The sequence below is a fragment of the Homo sapiens genome, chromosome 8, assembly GCF_000001405.40.
Source record: "Homo sapiens chromosome 8, GRCh38.p14 Primary Assembly".
Taxonomy (NCBI): domain Eukaryota; kingdom Metazoa; phylum Chordata; class Mammalia; order Primates; family Hominidae; genus Homo; species Homo sapiens.
The window spans coordinates 51,890,697-51,914,913 of NC_000008.11; the positions used below are offsets into that span (position 1 = coordinate 51,890,697).

Consider the following 24,217-nt stretch of genomic DNA (forward strand, 5'->3'; position numbering starts at 1 on the left):
CCTGTGGCTCCCATAACCAACAGCTAAACACCCATGTGCTTGGCAGTATAAATGTAGAAATCCCCTAATAACATTAAGTCAAGGCCTTAACACAACCTTGGTTACTTAAAACACCACTTCCTAGCACAGATGCATCCAGGTCAGAGAAAATGCAAGCACTCACATTTTCCATACTTCTATCACCAAATACATCTGCCACAGGATTACATGGCAGAAGGACTTACAAAGCTGGACATTTCTAGTGGTGTTTTCATTAACACAGAGGTCCCTCAGAATTAAAAACCATACGAGCCTCAGGTGATAACATCCCCGTTAACCTGTTTCTCCTTTTCTTTATCCATATTTTCTAGTCTTTCCACAATAAATTTCTACTGCTGTTATACAGGGAAAAAAGCAAAATCAAATAAATGAGCTTTTACTTATTATGTTCACAATATCTAGGGAAGTATAATTGACCAAAGAGAATCGCAGGAGCTCAGAAATGGGTCAGTGCAAATGAACCACTGTTAAAAATAAATCTAAACCATATGAACCTAGGCAGCATACACATACCACCCTAAAAATAAATGACATGAGGCCGGGCAAGGTAGCTTTCTCCTCTAATCCACTTTGGGAGGACAAGGCAGGAGGATGGCTTGAGCCCATGACTTTGAGACAAGCCTGGGCAACATACTGAGACACCTATCTCTACAAAAAATGAAAGAAAAAAACAATTAGCCGGGCATCGTGGCACATGCCTGTAATCCCAGCTACTGGTGAGGTTGAGGTTGGATTGCTCGAGGTCAGGAGGTGGAGGATGCAGTGAGCCGAGATCGCACTACTGCACTCCAGGCTGGGTGACACAGCGAGGCCCTGTCTCAAAAAAAAGAAAACAAAAAAACACTCAAATCCCAAATTTAGCATAGAATGCCTGGAAAATAAAGAGAATATATCATTATTCAGTAAATTATATGCCACTAGTTAAAAAAAAAAACAAAAAATATATATATACATATATATGTATATATATATATATAGCTTCAGAAACCTTAAATGATCTGTAGAAATAACCTGATAAACTAGCTACAGAGGCTAAATAGGTAGTACAGTTTACACAATTAACAGTGTGTATTTACAGCCCCCTTGGATCTAAAGGAATCAAAGAACATTCACTATATAATTACCTGGTATCCCACCACCACCTTCTTCTCTTGTTAAAGATTCTGACTTTTACCATTCATTCCATGTACTTGTTATTCAACAGAATTCTGACTGACATTTTTAATATGCACGAATATATTGTTTCTGTTTATACATAAGTCTGAAAGCATTCATACCAAACTGTTAAAAAACCATTACCCCAGCAAACCATGAGGAGCAGACACAGATGATGGGGGCCTGCTTGTTTAACTCCATTTAATTTAGTAATTTAAATCTTATTTCTGAATATACAATAATTTTTCAATAAAAAGATTAATAACCACATACAATATTGTAAGCCACAACATTTCCTTCTAGATGACACAAAGGGATCTAAATTCATCCCCTGCATAGGTTTCCTACGTTAAATATACTAGCATAGGCCATAGATCCAGACACCAAACTCCAGATACCACGTATCATTTCTAAACACTGAACTGCTAACACATGCAGGGCTGACCCTTGCCCAGAGTGGACCATTGGTCATGGCAGCTGCTACCCATCACCACTACCATCCCAACTCTTCCAACTCGATTGTCAACTATGGCTTCTAGCAAATGTCTTCACATAACCCCACAGTTCTCTCCATTCACTTACACACTAATCATCAGGTCAGAAAAGGAACCAAAAAGCCCATTTCAGCTTTCAAACTTTATTTTCCCCTACAAGAAAAGACCACCTACTTTTTACTTTTCTTCCTTCAAAGTGTTGTCACAACGGTTGTAATAGTTAGAAACTAAATGCTCATTAGTAGGGAATATAGTTAAATCAATTATAATTGAAATACAATCTATAGCTGTAGCTATCTATAATATACTCTGAGGCTGAAATTGTTTTTTTAAGAATGAAGTGGTTCTTTATCTCCTCATAGAGATATATGGTTATGTGAAAATCCAAGTGAAAAAAACAGCAGTGTACCTCATCTTTATGTAAGTGGAAAGAAAATTTATTTATATTTCATTGTACATACAAATAAAAAAATAGTTTCCATTATATCATTCCAGAGGTAAGTGACTACTTCCCATCCCAGGGGGGAAAATGGGAGGCTGAGGAAGATACATTTTCAGTTTATATATTTTTTGTATCACTTAAAATTTGCAACATGTGATATATTAACTATTTTTAAAGTCAGTGAATTATTTTAAGCTCACTTACAATTTGTATCTTCAAAGAAGTATTTATGATTACTTTAATATTTTATAAAGCTAAGGGCAGGTAGACTACAAATGGATTAGTTTGAGAATCAGTCTCATTCCTTTATAAGCATGCATTTTAACATTCCAAAAAGAAAACGTCTCTTCCCATCACCAAGATATCCTACATTCAAAATTCTTAACAGAATTATATTTTTACTTTATAAAGCAAGAATTAATTACTTATTAGTTAGATAAACTATAAACAATACAGGGCACAATGGCAGATATAAGAAAAAACTGTAACTTCTGCATGATAACCATTAACATCGATAGATTATTTTTAAAAAGTCTGAAATTTCATATGAACTCTTCAGCAATGTAAGAATTATGTATAATCTGTGTGAGGGCATTTCAGCTGATTGTACAGCTGGAGCTTCCTGATATCACCAAAAGGAAGAAAACAATACTAAAGTATAGACAGAGTTGTACTCCATCTTTCACATCTATGCAAGCTTAAAGAAACTGTAAGATCAGAGAGTTTATGAGAATATTGCAGCTCATTAGAAAACTTGTCTGACTCAACAGCATGGAAAATAATTCAAATACTAAATCATTAATTTTTTTAAAAATTTATATACAGTACCAAGAAAGGATATGTGCACATGGAAAGACAAAACTGATTTGTCTTAAATAAACAATATAATTACCTTATAATCTGAAAACAATTCATGATAGCCTACAACAAGAAATTTAGTTCTGTTGTGGACACACACAATTAAAAACTCAAACAAGCTAGTGTGTGTGACAGAGAGAGAGAAACTAAAATCAAATATACTGCTTAAATACCAATGAAAGGGGTAGTTTACCAGTGATCATTTTCATACTTATTTACCCATACTTCCTGAGCACCCACTGGAAGACACAAGGAACAGTAAGACATAGTTTGTGCTTCAAGCATCTTATATAATCCAATTACAACTGTTAGAGTACTCAAAACAAATTTAGAGTACAAAGTATCATCACAGGTTAAACAGCTGTATGAATGTGCAGGAGATTTTACTACTGTACTACACAGACTGGGAGGTGGGGGCTCTAGGGAAATACGGTGTACGCTGTATAAACTAGACTTTTACATGGAAGACTTCTAAAGGCAGAGATGGGAGAAAGAAAAAAATTCCAAGAAATGGAAATGCATAAGAAATCAAAAAAGTAAAGTAAAACTGAAGTTTACATTCTTTTTGGAACAGCTGCTGGGACAGAAAGAATGTAACTTAATATTTTAAACTAAAACAAGAAATAAGTTTTGAAAGGGGCACTGAAGTCAAATAATGCAGTTTTGAAAGGCAACACTGAGGAACTCGGGCTTTCTTCCAGAGTGGATCAGGAGCCACTCAGCAGAGGCACAGTGGTCAAGAACACAGACTTGGAAGAAGACATGGTTGGGATTCAAATCCCAGAGCTCTTCTACCTACTAACAACTCCTTCAAGATCATGAAGTTCCAATTTCTTCACCTGTAGAATGGGGATAATATAAATTATAATGACCACATGAGAACAAAGGATTCAGCACACTGACTGACATAAACACCCAAGTGGGTTTGTTTTGTTTGCTTGTCATCAGGCAGGGAACATGATCAGGACTACATTTAGGACAATTAATAAGCAGTATTCACAATGAATGACAAACCTAGAGATTAATGTCTCTTGCTGTGTATATGGCTGCTGGAAGAACTGAAGAAAGATAGAAGAAATCAGGAACCACAATGCAGTAAGATGACAAAAAAAAAAAAAATTCTAAGAAAAGGAGAGAGAGAAGAACCAAGGATGACCTTTTGATTTTGAGTCTAGATGACTAAGAAAATGCAAAGGTCATTAATATAAACAAGCAAGAAGAATCAGGCTTGCAAAAAAAGTTTAATTCTGAATCTACTGATTCAAGATTACAAAATGACAGCTACTAAGTTGATCAGGGAGAACAACATTGGCAAATCTGAAGCTTGGGAATGAAAATAAGGCTGATGATACACAAGTGGAAGCCTGAGCAAAGAGGGTGAGGGGAATGAGCAGTTGAAACCACGGATCTGTGTGGGATTGCCAAAGAAGAGAACAAACTCTAAAAAGGAAAAGAACTAAACCTAAGGTAACACCTACAGGCAACATCTATCTATACTTCAGGAAGTGAGAGAGAAAAACAAACAAAGGCCCCAAGAAGGGAGAGTTGGAGATGCCAGTTTGTGAAAGTCACCAAGACAGACCTTCACAGCATTTCACATTCTACAGCTCTTTCAATGCTCATTATAACTTTAGATTATAAACTGAACTGACTTCATCAATTGATAACATGATTATCATTAAAGGTTTTTAAGAGCCTGCAAGTTACTGAAGAGTGCTCAGTAGAAAACACAGAAGAGTGTTTTATGCAAATTAGTTTTTAAACTCCAAGAATATTTTAAGCTCTAGAAATCATACCTGATGCATGTCTTGTATCAAGACATAAAGTTGAGTTATTTCTGGCTACCCGTGCATAATGTTCCAAAAAGGATTTTCAGGTTAAACTGGAAAATATGCTATGTCTTCCCATCAGCAATACCTCTCATTAATTTTTGAGAATACACATACACATAGTGTTTGATTCACAATCCTTCCCCACTTCAACAGCTGAAAAAATCTTACCATATTCTAAAAACGTCTTTAGGGGGCTGAAATATTTCTGTGTCACCTAATTATAAAACCCACTCACATCCAACATCCAATGTTACGTTGACCGAGAGATAATCAATGGCAGATACGCCATTTAGGTATGAATCCAATTATCATCCTTAACAATTGCCAGTAAAATGTCAAAGCTTTTCCTGTATTTTTGGTTTCTTCTCAAATACAGATTACAACTGACCATACTTTATTAATGTTAGTATTTGTCCCATTTCTTTTTTTTTTTTTTTTTTTTTTTTTGAGACAGAGTCTCACTCTTTTGACCAGGCTGGAGTGAAGTGGAGCGATCTTGGCTCACTGCAACCTCTGACTCGCAGGTTCAAGCGACTCTCCTGCCTCAGCCTCCCGAGTAGCTGGGATTACAGATGCCCACCACCAAGCTCGGCTAATTTTTGTATTTTTAGTAGAGACGGGGTTTTGCCATGTTGGCCAGGCTGGACTCGAACTCCTGACCTCAGGCGATCCACCTGCCTCAGCCTCCCAAAGTGCTAGGATTACAGGCGTGAGCCACTGCCCCCGGCCGCCACATTTCTTCCAACTATGTAGTTGCCACATCTAGTGGAAAATGAAAAAAGATTAATAAACCATATTATGACACCCTATTGTCTGTCATTATGCATTTTAAGTGACTACCAAATATTTTAAAATACCAATAATTACATAAGTAAATTTTAATCCTTTTAGACTTTTTTAGGGCCCTCTTGGTATTCTTTCCAGCACACTAATTTACAAAAAAGTTCAACTACGTTCATAAAAATGTTTACTGATATGAGACTATCCTTCCGAGTTTGTAAGCAATACGCAGCTGTGAGAGCTACAATTTACAATAACATCCCAATTTACCATGGCACCCAGCAGTGTCTAAAGTAACACAAATCCCCATCTTCTTGGTTAACAGCATAAGATCAAGGAGTTTAAAATTTTAGTAATATGCCACCAGAAACCTCATCTAAAAAAATACCATTATAGTTTCACACTATATTCTCTAGACTATTTTAAATGCATGTGATTACATTCATGTAGTTATTCTGTAAGGAACATTTCAAAGAAAGCAGAAAAAACCGTAAGGGCAACAATTTTTCGTTCATAGGAGGTAAAACAAGAGCAGAAAACACAGGTTCTTGGATTAAGCACTCCTGAATATAAACACGCACTATTACAAAAAAAAAAAAAAAGCAATGGGATCTTGAGCAGTTCTTTTACTCAAAGCCTCTATTTATTACTCTATAGAATGAGAAGAATGTCATTTATGTTGTTATGAGAAATATATGAGCATATTATTACCAAAAATAACTAAAATGTCATGGATTTTTTTATTCCTTTCGAGCACAGTTTCCAAATCATAAAATACTACACAATTTGGCTTAAAATTTCAGGCTATGCATGTTTAGAACCAGACGTTGTTCGTGATTATCTTCCTCAGTTGTTCTTTCCCTGGAAGCTAGCACCAAGATGAACACAGTACATTTTTAATAAATACAAGCTAGTGATTAAATCAACAAAGCCTCCAGCTCTTCTGCACACAGAAATACAGTATGCAATGGGAATTTCCTAGCTTTCTGTCTTACTTAATAGTAGGCAGTGTAGTATCACCCCTCCACTTCCAGTTTACTCCCTATAGCTTACTTACCAAAATATTTAATCCCTGTTGCTTTTTTTTTCTTGTCTCAGGCTAGGGCCACTAGCTTTCTATCTTTCCTACCTTACCTTTCCTTCACATATTAGCTACTTCATGTTAAAGAAATTACAAGTGTTCAACTGACCATATGGAATTAAAATTTACTTAGAAAAAAATGAAATAAAAAAAACCAAAAAGTAAACTAATTCAGCAACTTTATGTTTTATGGAGTCATCTAGCCTCATGTAAACTACCATTAAGCAATACGTAAACATATTAATCTGCTTAATACGAAAGTAATGTCGTCTGGCCGCAGACATTCTGAAAGTTTTGCCACATTGTTTCAAAATATTGGCTTGTAGCCCTTTTCAAAGCTACTGATTATTGAAAACTTGGCGACCATGTTTAACAATGAAGAAAAGGCTTCCCCAAGCCTACGTAGATTGGATTCTCTAATACATAGTAATAATGTTTTTTAAAATAATGAGGTGTGTAATAAAATGGAGGAATATCCATGATGCATTGTTGGCTAATAAAACGATATACTGTACTATATATGATCCCAATCTTGTTTCTAAAGCACACTCATTAAATGCACAGAAAAAAAAAATCCTGAATAACTACCCACCACACTTGGAGACTGGCTACCCTGGGTAGTAAGAAGGAGAAATATGGGGGGAAGGGCGCGAGAGAGGGCAGGTTTCCTCATTGTTTGGCTGCTTCATGTTTTTCTCAAGGAGCAAGCAGTACTTTTGTAATTAAAAAAATAAATAGGGGAAAAACACTGCTAAAAGCATACTTTTTTCCTCCGTAGCAAATTCTTCTGATTTGTAATGTTAAAAATATATCTCTGGTTTCTCGATTCTAAAAAGAGGACACACGAAAACAAAATTATAGAAGTTCCAAAAAATCTTGGATTTGCAAAATTACTCCCTCGGGTTCTGCCCGTGGGTCCTCCCCATGCCGGTGTCTGAAATTCCCCAAGCAAAACGCGGGCACTGCACTTCCCCGGAACGGTAGTAGACGCTCAAAAACACAAAAAGAGGCCTTGGCGCCTGCTATAACCTCTCAGTCCCCTCCCAGCCCCCGAGACTTCCCCGAGTCTACGTAGACTGGATTCTCTGCCTCCAAAACCAAAACAGAAGTCACTGGGCGGATCCAAAACGGCCCTAAGGGGCCCGCGGGCATCTCAAGACGCCAGCCTCGGGACTCTGGTCCCCAAGCCCAGGTCAGAGCCGAGGACGAGCCGAGGACGGGCCGAGGACGCGGCGCCCCGGCCTCCCTCGGGCCCCCGACCTCCCCGGCCCCAGGGACCCCGGCTCCCGACCTCCAGGCTTCGCTGGGCCCCTTTCGACTCCCCGACCTCCCAAGTCCTCCGCCCCCGGCCCGTCCTTCCCCCAACCTGCCCCGCAGCGCCTCAGTTTCCTGGCCCCCGACCTGCCCGCCCTTAAGTCCCCCTGCCCCCGACTCTTCGGCTGCCGTCCCCCTGGCCCTCTGGCCTCCAAGCGCATCCCAGTCGCCCGCCCGGCCCTAGCACGCGGGACTCGCACACCCCACGACCCCGAGCCCCCACTGGCGGCGGCGTTACCTGTGGCGCGGGCAGCGGCGCGCAGGCCAGGCGCTAGGACTCGGCGGGGTCCGCAGCAGCCAGACGCCGCTACCACCACAATAACAACACGGACGCCACCGCCGAGTGGAGAGGCGGGGCCCGGACCCGCGACTGGAGCAGCCAGAGCCTCCCGGACTCCGGAGCCGCCGGGGTCCGGGCATGCGCAGAGAACCACGGGCACAGGGGCAGCTCCCCGCGGACGCCAAAGTCAACAAGGCCGGGAGACGCCCCCATCTGGCCCCGCCCCCCTCAGGGCTCGCTCCGCCCCCAAGCCCAAACAACGCGAGGCCTTGACAGGCCAGAAGACGATGGCGGTAGGGGAGATCACGCGAGAGCATGGCCTCCACCTCTCCTCCCCACCGCCATCTCCACGTTCTCGCACCGGCGCTGGGGTGCAGGCTTTCAGTGGTCTCAGGGCTACGGCTTGTCGGTGCCTCGCCGCACAGTCCCCTTTGCATTGAAGGACACGGTCTTACGGTGTAGGAGCATTTTTGAGGTGCATTCCTGGATTTGGAGGCGAACCCCCAATGGTTACCTCCACAGAGGCTTTGCGAAGGGCGCTCACTGACTTAGGTGAAGAGCGAAGGCTCAAGACTGTGCCGCTTTATAGTGGCCCCTTGACGTCCAGAAGTTCCCCCCAGCGCCGGTCATAAGCACTCCCGCCGCCTGGGCCCCGCCCTGCCTGCCAGGCGCCCTCCAGCCTCAGCTCCCGGACGCCCGGCGTGGCCGCTTTCTCGCGTCTTGCTGACCCGGGCCGGGGGCGTGTGCTCCTCCTGCAGCGGACGGAAGATGCTGGGCCACGCAAGTTTCCCTGGGCTTGGTTAACCACCCCAAAGCCCATTTCCAGAAGGAAAGGGTGTTGAGGAGGAGGGATAGAAAGTCGAGAAGAGGGCCGGGTGAGTGGCTCACGCCTGTCATCCCAGCACTTTGGGAGGCCGAGACAGGCGGATCACCTGAGGTCAGGACTTAGAGACCAGCCTGGCCTACATGGTGAAACCCCGTCTCTACTAAAAATACAAAAATTAGCCGGGTGTGGTGCCGTGCGCCTGTAGTCCCAGCAACTCGGGAGGCTGAGGTAGGAGAATCGCTTGAACCCGGGAGTCGGAGGTTGCAGTGCTGAGATGGCACCTGGCCTGGGCGGCAAGAGCGAAACTCCATCTCAAAAAAAAAAAGAAGAGGAAATGAGGCATAGGGGCAGGCGAGCCGGGAAAATATTGCTACTAAGGATCCTAAGCAGTGAACATGCTGTTAATACTTGTAAGACTCCTAGCAAACTGCATTTAATTTTTTAAATTAGTTTTAGTGTACATAAAGGCATGTCTTTTCCAAATACTGTACTTTTTGAAGTGTTCTTTGTTGTTCATTAATCTTTGTGCGTTTCCCTTCAGTCTCTAATAGTAGGTTGTAGCATGATTTGCTTCCATCGTGTGAATTCTGTTCGGTTTTGATTTTCAAGTATGAGAGTGAGCGTAAGCTACCCTTATAGGTTACCTAAGGTAAGTTAGAATTAGAACGTCTTTATGCTAGGGTTACTACTCCCCACCATAACCAACCATCTGCAAAAGCGTTCAGAAAGAACATGCTAGCAAGGTCAAAAGCTTCAAATCACGAAATAAGAACTTGAAAACGAGCAAAATTGCTGCTGAGGCGCTCTGCCATTTAACTCAAAGGCTTCACTTTATTTAGGTTTAAAGTATGAGTGCATATTCAGTGGACATTGAGCTCCGAACTGTTCAAAATCTCTATTCATCTGCATTCTGGAGTAGAGCTGCGGGTCACATTATTAGCTCCATCTTTGGATTTCTGCCTGGACCCAGGGCACTCCTAACCGTTGTGGGATCATATAACAATCTTACAGGATGAATTTTCTGTTAGTCCAAGCAGAAATTTTGGCACATGAAAACTATCTTACCATAAACAAACAAAAAAAGTACAAATGGTAATCTAAGGAAAATAGCTAAAATCATTAAACAACTCTTACAGCCGTTTCCCCTGTTTTCTCTCCATTTTTTAAAAGCATATTTTCCTTTACTTTCTTCCTTCTGCTATGGGAATTTTTCAGGGTTCTAGACCTTTTTTCTCTTCTGCGGCTGGAAAGTTAAACACAGGTCATTTTTTAAATAAGACTGCTAGTAAATACCTTCTTAATAAACAACACCAAATGCTAGTCTTGTGGGTGAGTAGTTGAACAGCAAGTAAAGCACTCTATCACCTGTAATTTTCCTGTGGTAGGCACACCCCATCTCTACCTTCACGTAATTTCTGATTATGCCTCCATACCTTACACATATAATTCATTTGTGGGTGGGGGCGACAGAGTCTTTTGCTCTTTTGCCCAGGCTGGAGTGCAGTGGCAACCTCTGCTCACTGCAACCTCCACCTCCCGGCTTCAAGCAGTTCTGCCTCAGCCTCCCAAGTAGCTAGGATCACAGGAGCGCACCACCACCCCCTGCTAATTTTTGTATTTTTAGTAGAGATGGGGTTTCCCCTGTTGGCTAGGCTGGCCTCAAACTCCGATCTCAAGTGATCCACCCGCCTCGGCCTCCCAAAGTGTTGGGATTACAGGCATGAGCCACCACGTCTGGCTATAATTCACTTCTTGTGTGTGACTTCCTACTAATTTGTAATCATGAAAGTTGGGCACATACCCAGTATGCTCACTATTTCTCTGCAGGGCCTGATACAGTGGCTGCTACAACACTGATACTCTGCATTTGTTGAATGAGTAATTTAAATTTTAAATTATCATCTAGAATCATTTAGAGATTTATTTAGACTTTGATAAATTTAGATAACCCACACACAGTTTATTCCTAGAGTTCTTGATACATTGTTACAGTAAGTTTGGTCCTGGCAACAGCAATAACACTTACTGTAATAACTTAATTCTTCATACGAGGTTGCTTCACTTTTATTATTAAGCAGAAAATACCCAAAGTAAAATTGAGCTATTTGGGACTCCTTTCAGAATACTGTGTAGGCTGAAGCATTGTTGTATCAGAAGTGCTCTGTTATTTGAATGCATAAGGTATTCAACAAACAAATGCTTATTAAATTAAATGGTATTCAGCATACAGCTACTGTCACCGTGCTAGGAGTTCACATTTTTCATATGCGTGGCAGTTAGCACTGGTGCATGTTTCCTTCAGCCTCAGAAATGGAGGTGTCTGCGTGTTGCCCAGATCTACCTTGAAAACTCTAGTTGCTTCCTAACACCTAGGTTGTATAGTGGGACTTGATTATGTTTTATAAAGCCAAGTCTGGTCTGTGAGGACTGAAAGGATTTCCTCATCTTAACTCTAATTTGGCCTGCAATGTCTGGGGAAAACCCAAAACTAAAATGTAACTAAATGTGGAACTGTTTTTTTCTGCAGTTTGATTTCCTTGTACCATTTTCAGTACAGTTAAATTCATCACCTCCCCTACCTCACCATCCCCCTCCCCCTGCAAAAAAAAAAAAAGCAAAAACAGAAGTATTTTCTCTCTTAAAGAGAATTGTCATTGGCCAGGCACAGTGGCTCACGACTATAGTCCCAGCCCTATAGGAAGCAGAGGTGGGAGAATCATTTGAGCTCAGAAGTTGCAAGATTTCAAGATCAGCCTGAGCAACATAGTGAGACCTCATCTCTGCAAAAAATTTAAAAATTACCTGAGTGTGGTGATGCATGCCTGTAGTCCCAGCTATTCCAGAAGCTGAGATGGGAGGATTACTTGAGCCCAGGAGTTAGTTTCTAATTGGATGTAGTCTGCACAGGCAGATTTCATTTTCAGTATTAAAAAGGTCAGTAATTTCTGAAATATTCACTTGACAATTAATAGGATTAAATGACTTTGGGAAAGCATAATTTTATTTTAAATTGCACATATAATCCCTCAATTACATAGATTTTAATGCTAGGATAATCTTCCAATAAAAGGAAATATAAGTTATCAAAAAATGAATTTCTTTTAGAAAAATAAGCATTTATAATTTATTGTCTACAGTAAACAAAAAGTGACTTTAACTCACAAGTTAAAATTACTCTTATATGGTGCTTAATCTATATAAATATCTTTCCTTTATTAAAAATTCTGCTTCTTAAAAAACAGAATCATGGAGTGGAGAAAAAGGAAAACTTCTGCTTGTAAACTTAAGTGCATCAAAACTGTGGATAAACATCTTTTTAATGTATATGTAAAATTTAATATTTTTTAAAGAATCTATTAAAGTTCAATAAACATTTTCTGACACTATGATAGATGCTGAGGATATTGCAATAATATATGATATAGCTTCTGTCTTAATAAACTTACATTCAAATAATAGAAGGAGGAAAGTGACCCTTGACATAATAGTAAGGGTACAAATAAAATACTCTTGCTCCATAGTAGTGTTCCATGGCAGAAGTCAAATTTGAATCAAGCTTTGAAATTTGAATAGAATTTTTGAATTATGGAGATAAAGAGAATAGCTATTTTAGGAACATGGAATATAAAAGAATAACGCTTACATAGATCATTTGTTTTCAAAGAGCAGAGATTAATCTGATTTAGCTAGAACATAGAATGCAAAAAGGATAATGGGAGCTAAGCCTAGAAAGATAGACTGCAGCCAGATTTTGGTGGTCATTAGATTGGATGCAACAGCCAGCAAGGAGCCAAAACTTAAGTGTTCACTTTTATGTAAATGTAGCTGACGCAAGTACCTTGTATTAGAACTAAAAATTATGCTGTATATAACTATTACTGTAGTTAGGTGAAACCATTTCAGAGTCTGCTTTAGTGATTCATAGTGTAAATGAAGTTACTGTGTTTATGTGTGTGTGTGTGTGCACATTATATGTATGTATGTGTGTTTTTAAGTATGACATTTGAATTCTGAAATGAAGATGAAAAAGGCTTTGGTCAGTAAACCTGTCTTTCTTGGTCAGATACTGAACCACAGTAGTAAGTCCAGGCACTGAAATGATAATTCATATGTATGGATTCTTCTTGGCTCTAGGTTGATGAACAGAGCAATTATGAAGAGTTGACTAGAACCAACTGATCTTTTTTTTTTTAATTCCACTAAATAGAATAGTTTGCTAAAAATAATAGTAAAAATAGGAGCTGTGACAACAAATTCATTATTAGGGCAGAACAGAGACTTTGAAATGAAAAATCCTAAAACAAAAGCTAACCTCGATAATGAACTCTTTTTTCAGCAAAAATACCTCAAAATGTTATTTCAATTCTGTGTTCCTTCAAGGAGATATTTACAGAGCGTGATCCACACCAAAGTCCCTGGAAAAGTGTTCAGTGTTGCCCAACTTGAAGGTCATGGCTAAGTGATAAATGTAGTCTAAAAAACACAGGTGGTTGGATCACACTGTTTCCACTGCCCCTGCTGCCAGGACTAGCTATAAACCAGTGTGTAACATGAGCAGCATGTATTGCAGCTATCCTCCCTCCTTTCTTTTCCGTAACCTCAGTAAGCAGTGCCCTCAGGCTGCCTGCAGCTGTGCGGGTGCCCCCTCTATGGTGTCATCCATGCCTTCTCCATCAGTGCTGTCCTTTGACCCCACCTTTCTTCTCCTAATCTGCAATGTGTCCTGCTGGACACAGGACTCAGCTAGAACCATGTTAGAAAGACCATGTGATAAAAAAAAAAAAGTTAATGACAAGATACTTAATATATGAAATCAGCTTTATTTCCCTCCAGGAATATTTTTATTTAAACAGTTCTTAAAAACTCAATCTACAATTTTTACAAAGGAATTAAATAATGATGTTCTATTACTTATAAGGAATTTGAGGCCTCAGGAGTAAGCTATAGCTAGATTGTTTTAGGCAGGAGGACTTTCTGTGTTCTTAGCTTCCCTTGGTTTCTAATTAAAAGGTTGGAAAATGAGATACATCTCTGACATATTAGTTTATATAGTTGGCCTTCCATATCCATGGGTTCCACACCATAGAGTCAACCAACCACAGATGGAAAATATTCCCCCCAAAAATGGATGGTTGCATCTGTACTAAATGTGTAGACTTTTGTTTGATCATTATTCCCTAAACAATACATGCTGAATTTCCTACCAGAGACAAAAGCTTCAGTCATATTTTTTATATACTTATATCTTAGGCAAGACTTTAATAAACCAAGAAATGGTTAATTTTCACAAAATATATGTTAATAGACCATTAATGCCAGTGCATGAATTAGCTTATGGTTTTTGTTCCTAGCTACCGTTTTTTGTTGTTGTATTTTTTGGAGACAGAGTCTCACTCTGTTGCCCAGGCTGGAATGCAGTGATGTGATCATAGCTCACTGCAGTCTTGAACTCCTGGGTTTAAGCAATCCTCCTGCCTCTGCCTCCTAAGCAGCTGGAACTACATGCATGTGCCACATCATGGAGCTAATTTTTAAATTCTTAGTAGAGATGGAAGTCTCATAATGTTGCCCAGGCTGGTCTCAAACTCCTGGCCTCAAGTGATCCTCCTGCCTCAGCCTCCCAAAGTGCTAGGATTACTAGTGTCAGCCACCGTGCCTGCCCCTAGCTACTGTTTAAGTTCAGGAATATCAAAGAAAAAAAGCACCAGACGACTGGGCACGGTGGCTCACACCTGTAATCCCAGCACTTTGGTAGGCCGAGGCAGGCGGATCACGAGGTCAGGAGATCGAGACCATCCTGGCTAACACGGTGAAACCCCGTCTCTACTAAAAATACAAAAAATTAGCTGGGCGTGGTGGCGGGCACCTGTAGTCCCAGCTACTCGGGAGACTGAGGCAGGAGAATGGCGTGAACCTGGGAGGCGGAGCTTGCAGTGAGCCAAGATTGCGCCACTGCACTCCAGCCTGGGCGACAGAGTGACACTCCATCCCCCCCCCAAAAAAGAAAAAGAAAACAAAAGCACCAGACAAGGTAAACAGGAAAGGAAGACTTCATATAACATTTACATTATATTAGATATTATTAGTAATCTAGACATTATTTATCATATATGGGAGGATGTGCATAGGTTATATGCAAATACTACCGTATTTTATATCAGGGATTTGAGCATCCAGATGTTGGTATCCAAGGGTGGGAAGTCCTGGAACCAACCCCCTATGGATACCGAGGGGCAACTGTATTTTTATTTTACACCTTTTTCTTTTCCCCTAATGTATTTTAGCAGATAGCCAATTGTGTGATTCCTTGCCTTGGTGATGTAATGAAGTTTTTGGCAGGGCAAAAAGCAGACTTTTCTTGTACAGCAATGACCCTAATTTCCTCCCGACACTATAAATGGAAAAGAGGAATATGGATTCATTGAGCAGTAAAACAAGCCAAAATCTGTTTACCAAACAGCATCATAGCAGGTGGCAAAACCTCAGGGGAAATGGATGCATGCTACACATAGGCAGGAGTTTTCCACTTGGGGTTTCCACCTTTGCCTCATTTCCTCATGCCCCACATGTAGAATCGAATCTGCAGAACTTCCAGAACTGAAGGGTCCATCCCAGCTAGGACAACAAGCCTCTCACAACCAATGGCTTATGACCCACAGAGCCTCCTCAATGATTTGACTATATGTGAGATTCCAGAATATTTTAATCATCCTGTAGATAGGAGACCTGAGAGTATAACTCAAAGAAAAATTTCTCGTTTGTTTCAAAAAATATGAGCTCAAAGTCAAAAATAATTTATTAATTATTTTTAAAAATTTAAATAATTAGAATATACTTGGCTTACCAGATTTTCTAAACTGAGCTATCCTCTTTGACTAGGCTATATTACCTTATGATCTAAAACTTAAACAATCTCTTGTGGTTGTTTAATGACATTCCAACATGTCATGAGAAAATATTCTTGGAAAGCTGTCTGGTGGTCAGGGGTTCTCAACACCTCTACTTTTGCTTGCCACGTACTTCAGACGACCACACAGCCTGGTTTGCTCAAGTCAGTCCCAGTTTATGACTGTTATCCTGATGGAATGACTAATGGTTTTCCATGTCACTCTCAGAAGTGTCCAGGTTTGGATGATAAATTATATATATATATCTCTCTCTGCGTATAATTTATATATAAAAATTATAATGTATATATAATATATATCATACATACAGATATAATTTATATATCTATAATATATTTATATAAATTATGTAGTTATAATTTTTGTCATTAAAAAATTAGTTATATAGCTGTCTATATAATTTATATATTAAAATTATTTATATATATTATATCAGTATATCTTATATAGAGATATTATATATATAATATATATGTATATCTATATAAATTATATGGAGAGATATATATAATTTATCATCCAAACCTGGACACTGCTAATACAGAACTCATTTAACTGTATCAGTCTGGATAGGCTAGATTATCTGCTCTAACAAATGACACAAAATTGCAGTAGCCTATCATGGCAAAAGTTTATATATCAGACAGTATTCCAGGGCAGCTGTCCTCCATGAGTTGGCTCAGTACTCCTAACACCATCATATTGACATGTGCTTTCTATTGTTATGATGGAAAGAGAGTTCTTGCAGTGTCTTATGCTAGCAAATAAGTGATCCTGCCTGAAAATGGCACACATCACTTCTGTCCACGTTCATATGGCTCACACTGCCTGCAGGGGGACAGGTACTTTTCCCATTTTCCAAGAAGAACAGAATATGAGTATGAAAAGTCCCGGTGTTATATATTCAAACAAGAAGCCACATACCAATGAGATTATTTATTTTAATAACGAAAAATGTATTCTTATATGGGCAGATAAGTTCCTTTGCCACTACCTTAGTCACAATCTTGGTAATGATAAGTCTTTGAGGATACTAACTTAAAACAGTTCTTATGGTCAAGATAAGAGTTTTTAAAGTTTTGTCAGTAAGCAAGAGGAGCAGTAGCAAAGAAGAAAACAAAATCCAAAACATGATTCAAGATCCTTTTAGATAACAGGAATAATAAAAAATAAAAGTTGTAAAACAGAAACGCATACTTCACAAATATGTGCATTTTATAGTCCCCTAACTTAAATAATACTCAGGAATAAAAAACTGTAAGGTTTTTTATTTATTTATTTATTTATTTTTGGGACAGAGTCTCAAGCTGGAGTGCAGTGGCGCAATCTTGGCTCACTGCAACCTCTGCCTCCTGGGTTCAAGCAATTCTCCTACCTCAGCCTTCTGAGTAGCTGGAATTTCAGAACCCCACCACCACGCCCAGCTAATTTTTGTATGTTTAGTAGAGACGTGGTTTCGCCATGTTGGCCAGGCTGGTCTCAAACTCCTGACCTCAGGTGATCCACTCGCCTTGGCCTCCCAGAGTGCTGGGATTACAGGTGTGAGCCACTGCCCCCGGCCAAAAACTGTGAGTTAATTCATGTACATGCATTAATAGTCTATTATATATCTTGGGAAAATTAACTGTTTCTGACTGTAGAGACAAGTTCTTTGTTTCAGTAGAAAACTATTAACACCCCCTTGTGGGTTACCAGATTCTAGTCCTGTACATTGACTTTGAGCTATTTTTCACCTCTTTGTAACCCTACATAGTTTTGTTGCCTACTTGTAAATGGTACTGGACTCTGCTCTTTCACACATAGTGTCAGTCTTTATCAAATTTTCAATTCTTCTAGTTTCCTTTAATATCTGGCTACAACTCTCCAAATGTTTCTGATTTACTTCTACCTTCCTGACTTAACTAAAACCTGCCTATCCAGATTCTTATTGGGACTCTAGGTTGTCTTGTAGCCAGCCTTTTCTCCTAGATCTGCAGAAATCCTGCAGGATAAATTTCCAAGTGCTCATCATCACAAAAGATCATGTTAGGGCATCCTTCATGCCCAGAGCTACTGCTGTGGAGGCCACTCAGGAAGTTCACTGGAACTCCTGCCTCTGCCACACTCTGCTGTAGGAAATAACCATGATCGTGACAATCTCACGAAAACCTCCCTGAGGTCTGCGTCATCACCAAAGTGTTCAAACTGCAAACCAGAAACTGGTTTGCAGTGGCAGTTGGATTGCCACTGCCATCCTTATTCCATCTTCTACAGGTGCTTCACACCTGAAGTATAGAATCACCAGCTGGGTTCATAGTCTGCTCCAACAATTAATTTTTGTTTTTCTTTTATTTTCATAGGAATACCCTTCATTAAATGCTCTTGCCATCTAACAAATGTCTTTACTGCAAATCTCAAGAGAATAATTTAGCTTTTCCTTAATTAACAAAAGGAAGCCAACTTAGAAATGGACTTACTATTTAGAGGAAAGAAAAATGTCTGTTCTTTCCTTGAACAAGAGAAAAGACTGACCAAACTTTATTTATGTGTGTGTGTGTGTGTGTGTGTTTTGGGACAAGGTCTCACTTTGCCACCCAGGCTGGAGTGTGGTGGTACAGTCAGCTCACTGCAGCCTCATACTTCTGGATTCAAGAGGTCCTCCCACCTCAGTCTCCTGAGTAGCTATGACTACGGGCATACTCCACTGAACCTGGCTAATTTTTTTTTTTTTTATATACAGATAGGGGGTCTCACTTTGTTGCCCAGGCTGGTCTCAAACTCCTGGCTTTAAGTGATCCTCCTGCCTCAGTCTCCCAAAGAATTGGGTTTATAGGCGTGAGCCACTGCACCCTGCCTGACCAAACTTTTGTCCCACTACTCTCAGCCCTCTTCTTGGCTAGGCTTCATGTTTGACCTGCTGGGCCTGATTTTGCGAGAATCCCCACACCCTTGGTACTTGTATTAGTCTGCTCAGGCTGCCTTATGGCAAAATACCATAGACTGGGTGGCTTAAACAACAGACATCTTTACACAGTTCTGGAGGCCAAGGACAGTTTGCCAGCATGGATGGTTTCTGGTGAGAGCTCTCTTTTTGAGTTCAGTTGGTTGCCTCCTCACTGTGTTCTCACACGGCCTCTTTTCTGTGCACCAGCAGGGAGAGAGAGTATGTCTCTTCTCATAAGGACACTAATCCTAGTGAACCAGGGCCATATTCTTATTACCTCATTTTAACTTTAATTTTAATTTTAATTATTTCTTTACTCCATATATAGCCACAGTGGGAATTAGGGCTTCAACAAATGAATTTGGGTGGGGAGGGAGGACACAGACGTTCACACCATAACAATAAATCAAGTTCCCCTTAGTAATTTTTCATCCACTAACACCTCACCTTGCCCACTGGCTATAAATCCCCAGGTATCTAGAGTTGAGTTCAGTCTCTCTCCCTTATTACAGTTGTCTTGAATAAAGTCTACCTTGCCTGTTTAACTTGTCTGGCACATTTTTTCTTTGATAATCCTGAACTTGAACAGTAGCCAGGGCCAGGCATGGTGGCTCACACCTGTAATCCCAGCACATTGGGAGGCTGAGGCAGGAGGATCACTTGAGGCCAGGAGTTTGAGACTAGCCTAGGTAACATAGCAAGACCCTATCTCTACTAAAAATTTAAAATTAGCTGGATGTGGTGGCACACGCATATAGTCTCAGCTACTCAGGAGGTGGAGGCAGGATGATTGCTTGAGCCCAGAGGTTCAAGGCTACAGTGAGCTATGTTCACATGACTGCATTTCAGCCTGGGCAACAGAGTGAGACCCTGTCTCCAAAAAAAATTTTTTTTTTATTAAAAAAAATTAAAAACAATAGCTAGGAATAAAAACCATAAGCTAATACATATATTTGCATTAATGGTCTATTAGCATCTTTTGTAAAAATTAACCATTTATTGGCTTATGAAAGACTTGCGTAAGATATTAGTAGTAAAAAATATGAAGCTTTTTTACTCTGTTATGAAATTCAGCATGCTTGAAATTGTAACATAGCTATGATATGAAAACTCCTCAGTGAAAAGTATTTCCCACTAGATGTGAAAACTATTGCCCAACTAGATGTCACTGGCCATCTGCTATGATGCAGCAAAAGAAAAAATAATCTAGCTAACTCTTACACCAAATAGTTATTGAGTGTTGGGGTAGTATTTGGTGCTAGGAAGAAGTCAAGGACATATATAAGACAAAGGCCTTAACTTCAAATGCACTTGAGAGTGCCTGAAAATACATGTATAAAATCTTTCCATCTATGTATGGTAAAGTAAAATAACATAACAAAATCTTATTGCTGTATCAAAGGATTTCAGTATTTTCTACCTCACTATTAAGAAAAGTATGGGGAGCCAAAGATGTTGTTTTAGAATGGTGGCACCATTTATCTCATACTACCCAGCAAATGCTTTTTGTAATGAAAACCAGACTTAAAGAGGTGAGTGCCTCTTTTAAGCCAGGATTAATTATAATTAATTAATCATGTTAATCATGTAAAACCAGACTAGCTGGACTTAGAAGGAGATTAATATTCATAGTGACAAGGAAATTCTGAAGAAATCTTGCCACAGACAGTATTATATTTATGGAGTACTCAACCTGGGGTTGAAGAGCCCACCATCTTTTTTCCTCTATCCAAAGAAAGATTATAAGTCTTTCTTTTTCTTTTCTTTTTTTTTTTTTCTTTTTTGAGACAGGGTCTTGCTCTGTTGCTCAGGCTGGAGTGAAGTAGAGCATTCACAGCCCACTGCAACCTTGAACACCTGGGCTCAAGCAATCCTCCTGCCTCAGCCTCCTGAGTAGCTGGGACCACAGATGTGTACCACCATGCCCAGCTACATGTCTTTCTTTTGGGGGGACAGCAGAAACCTGGGCAGAGGAGGAATCCTGATACCCAGTTCTGAAACAAAGTGGCAGAATTTGTAATACAGAAGAAGGATCTTGTGACTGGTATTCTGTTATCCACAAGAGTAAATGTTCCCAAATAAACAAAACTGGGATATGAAATGGTGGAGTGTGTGGTGCCTGTTCATGAAAAAAAAAGGTCTAGATTGCAAGAGTAATATTAGAGGATTTTGGAGATGTTTTACAACCAGAGAATAAAAGACCATCCTTTTGTCTGACATGGTACAGTTTTATGCCCCTTACATGCAACAAGAAAACAAAAGCTAAATAAAATCGTAGGTCCTGATCCTCCAGTGCTTAGATACACTTAATTTAATTTTTGAAATACTTAAGCCTACGTCAGAGATCATTGAGTATTTATTTGGGGGAAACAGAGGAGGCAATGGCTCACCCCTGTCAGAGAGGATCAACAACATGCAGACATTCCTTATTATGAGAGATGGGTAACTGGAGTCTGCTTACCCTACTTCCAAAGCTTAAATATTTAGCAGTCAAAAATGGATATAGAGCTGTACAAAGGAATTGGAAACATTCATCTTTTTTTTTCATTGTAGTATCTCAAGCATATAGAATGGGACTTAAAATGAAATACAATAGCCCCTTGTTTGAATCCACCCCACCCTTACATTCACTCCCCGGAATCAACAAGTTTTAATTATTTCTGCTTTTAGTCCTATACTTCTATATCTCTATTACTTCTTCTTTAAATAAGGTGATTATGCCATTATTGCTTAATTTACCAACTTGGTTCATTAATTTTTATCAACTTTAGGATATTATGAGAATTTAGATTTAATGCCCCCATACAGTTTTATCCGCATTTGTTTTTTTGTTTGTTTTTTTTTTCTTTTTTACCTTTGTAACTTTGGCATTTACCATTGTAACTCAAAATCGTATCATGTTCCATTTACAAAGATAGATTGTCCCTACTCTGCAACTGAAGAAATGGACCAGGCATGGTGGCTCATGCCTGTAATCCCAGCACTTTGGGAGGCTGCGGTGGGCTGATCATGGGGTCAGCAGTTCAAGACCAGCCTGACCGATATGGTGAAACCCCACCTCTACTAAAAATACAAAAATTAGCTGAGCATGGTGGCGTTTTCCTGTAGCCTCAGCTACTCAGGAGGCTGAGGCACGAGAACCACTTGAACCTGGGAGGTGGAGGTTAAAGTGAGCCAAGATCGCTCCACTGCACTCCAACTTGGGAGACAGAGCAAGACTCCATCTCAAAAAAAAAAAAAAAAAAAGAAAAATGGAAATGTATTGCTTTGAGCCTCCTTCAACCTCTATTCTGTCTTTCCGTCTCCCAACTTTTATAAGCTGTGTTTTTGCTTTTGTATATCAGAGTTGATCATGATTATGTTCTGTTCTGCAGCCATAGCTCTCTGCCATCTTACTATGTAGGTTAATTTTTTTTTTTTTTTTGTAGAGATGAGATCTTGCTCTGTCACCCAGACTGGAGTGCAGTGGCACGATCATAGCTCACTGCACCCTCAAACTCCTGGACTCAAATCATCCTCTACCTCTGCCTCCATGAGTAACTGGAACTACAGGTACAAGCCCCCACACCTAGCTAATTTATTATTATTATTATTATTATTTTGTAGAGACAGGGTCTCACTATGTTGCTCGGGCTGGTCTCTAACTCCTGGCTTCAAGCAATCCTGCCCTGGACTCCCAAAGTGTTGGAATTACAGGTGTGAGCCACTACTGTGCCCAGCCCAGTTCCCTCATTACTAGAGCTATGTAAATACTGTTTTCTTCAGAAACAATGTACCATTTTAGAAGAAATATTCAAATTGATATTCGTTTCCTATAGCCTACCATTTTCTTAAAATCATGCCATGTTTTCATTTTGCTTTCTCACAGATTTTTGTTTTTTTTCTTTTAGAAACTGCTTTTGATTTCCTTGTTATTAAAAATTTTTTTCTTCAACATATTTCTATTATCTTTAAAATTCATACTCATTCTTTTATTTGATAAATTTCTTTTTTTTTTTTTTTTGAGACGGAGTCTTGCTCTGTTGACCAGGCTGGAGTGCAGTGGCACAATCTCAGCTCACTGCAAGCTCTGCCTCCCGGGTTCACGCCATTCTCCTGCCTCAGCCTCCTGAGTAGCTGGGACTACAGGTGCCCGCCACCATGCCTGGCTAATTTTTTTGTATTTTTGGTAGAGATGGGGTTTCACCATGTTAGCCAGGATGATCTCCATCTCCTGACCTCGTGATCCGCCCACCTCGGCCTCCCAAAGTGCTGGGATTACAGGCGTGAGCCACCGCGCCTGGCCTATTTGAATAAATTTCAATTTTTTTTCTGCTTTTACTTTTTATTTTTAAATAATTATATACTCACAGGAAGTTGTAAAGATAGTACAGAATTTCCATGTACCCATCATTCAATTTCTCCCAGTAGCTATATCTTACATAATTACAGAACAATATCAAAACCAACAACTTGATATTGGTGCAATATGTATATAATTTTCTGTAATTTTATCATACGTAGATTTCTGTAATTGCCACCATAATCAAGATAGAACTCTTCTGTCACCACAAAGCTGTCCCTTCTAGTACCCCTTTATAATCATATCCACTCCTCACCACCACTATCCCTAACCCTTGGGAACTACTAATCTGTTTTCCATCTCTATATTTCTTTTTTGGTAAGAATGGTTTAAAAATAGAATCACAGTATATGACCTCTTGAGATTGCCTTTTCCTTTTCACTCAGAATACTGCCATTTAGATTCATTGAAGCTGTTGCATATATCAGTAATACCTCTTTTATTGTTAAACAGTATTCCCTGATGATATGGGAATCTGTGATGATATGGGAATCTGTGATATGGGAATCCCTGATGATATGGGAATATGGCTCTGTGTCCCCACCCAAATCTCATCTCAAATTGTGATCCCCGTGTGTCCGAGGAGGGACCAAATGGTAGGTGATTCCCTTCCCCTTCCCCTTCCTGTTCCACTTCCCCTCCCCCCTTCCTTCCCTTTCCTTCCCTGCAAAACTGTGTGTCAATTAAAACTCCTTTATTTATAAATGACCCAGTCTCAGGTAGTATCTTTACAGCATTGAGAAAATGAACTAATACACCTGGTATGGATGTACCGGAGTTAATTGAACCATTTACCTATTGAGGTGCACTTAGGCTGTTTTTTTTCTATGTTGGGCTATAACAAATAAAGCTGCTATGAACATTTGTGTACAGGTTTTTCTGCAGACAGTGTTTCTTTCACTGGGATAAATACACAGAAGTGCAATTGCTGGGTCCTATGGTA

At 39.8% G+C, this 24,217-nt stretch overlaps 1 protein-coding gene and 1 long non-coding RNA gene across 10 annotated transcripts in view, besides 4 other annotated features; one reads left to right on the forward strand and one right to left on the reverse strand.

Annotated features, from left to right (window-relative positions):
* PCMTD1 (protein-L-isoaspartate (D-aspartate) O-methyltransferase domain containing 1) overlaps positions 1–8,490 on the reverse strand; it is an 81,612-nt gene extending 73,122 nt beyond the window's left edge. For 4 of the 6 annotated variants that reach the window (XM_047421325.1, NM_001286783.2, NM_052937.4 and 1 more), the window contains exon 1: positions 8,234–8,340. Coding sequence is in view for 1 of the 6 variants with exons in the window: in NM_001286782.1 (NP_001273711.1) it covers positions 8,234–8,415 (182 nt within the window). In the remaining 5 variants the exon portion in view is untranslated. Of the gene's footprint in view, positions 7,681–8,233 lie in introns of those variants that run through there. The other 2 variants (NM_001286782.1, XM_047421323.1) reach the window with 2 other exon arrangements.
* Positions 7,847–8,536: a silencer, noted in NCBI's record as "silent region_19186". NCBI's record gives its function as "represses an Ori minimal core promoter by ATAC-STARR-seq in GM12878 lymphoblastoid cells {active_cell/tissue: GM12878}" and the evidence as "EXISTENCE:reporter gene assay evidence [ECO:0000049][PMID:35858748]".
* Positions 8,577–8,866: an enhancer, noted in NCBI's record as "active region_27339". NCBI's record gives its function as "activates an Ori minimal core promoter by ATAC-STARR-seq in GM12878 lymphoblastoid cells {active_cell/tissue: GM12878}" and the evidence as "EXISTENCE:reporter gene assay evidence [ECO:0000049][PMID:35858748]".
* The window catches only part of PCMTD1-DT (PCMTD1 divergent transcript), a 50,575-nt gene continuing 34,976 nt past the window's right edge, over positions 8,619–24,217 (forward strand). For 2 of the 4 annotated variants that reach the window (NR_189279.1, NR_189277.1), the window contains exons 1-2: positions 8,619–9,150; positions 22,361–22,484. This is a non-coding gene — a long non-coding RNA (PCMTD1 divergent transcript). Of the gene's footprint in view, positions 9,151–20,723; positions 21,034–22,360; positions 22,485–24,217 lie in introns of those variants that run through there. The other 2 variants (NR_189280.1, NR_189278.1) reach the window with 2 other exon arrangements.
* Positions 9,037–9,096: an enhancer, noted in NCBI's record as "active region_27340". NCBI's record gives its function as "activates an Ori minimal core promoter by ATAC-STARR-seq in GM12878 lymphoblastoid cells {active_cell/tissue: GM12878}" and the evidence as "EXISTENCE:reporter gene assay evidence [ECO:0000049][PMID:35858748]".
* Positions 9,397–9,456: an enhancer, noted in NCBI's record as "active region_27341". NCBI's record gives its function as "activates an Ori minimal core promoter by ATAC-STARR-seq in GM12878 lymphoblastoid cells {active_cell/tissue: GM12878}" and the evidence as "EXISTENCE:reporter gene assay evidence [ECO:0000049][PMID:35858748]".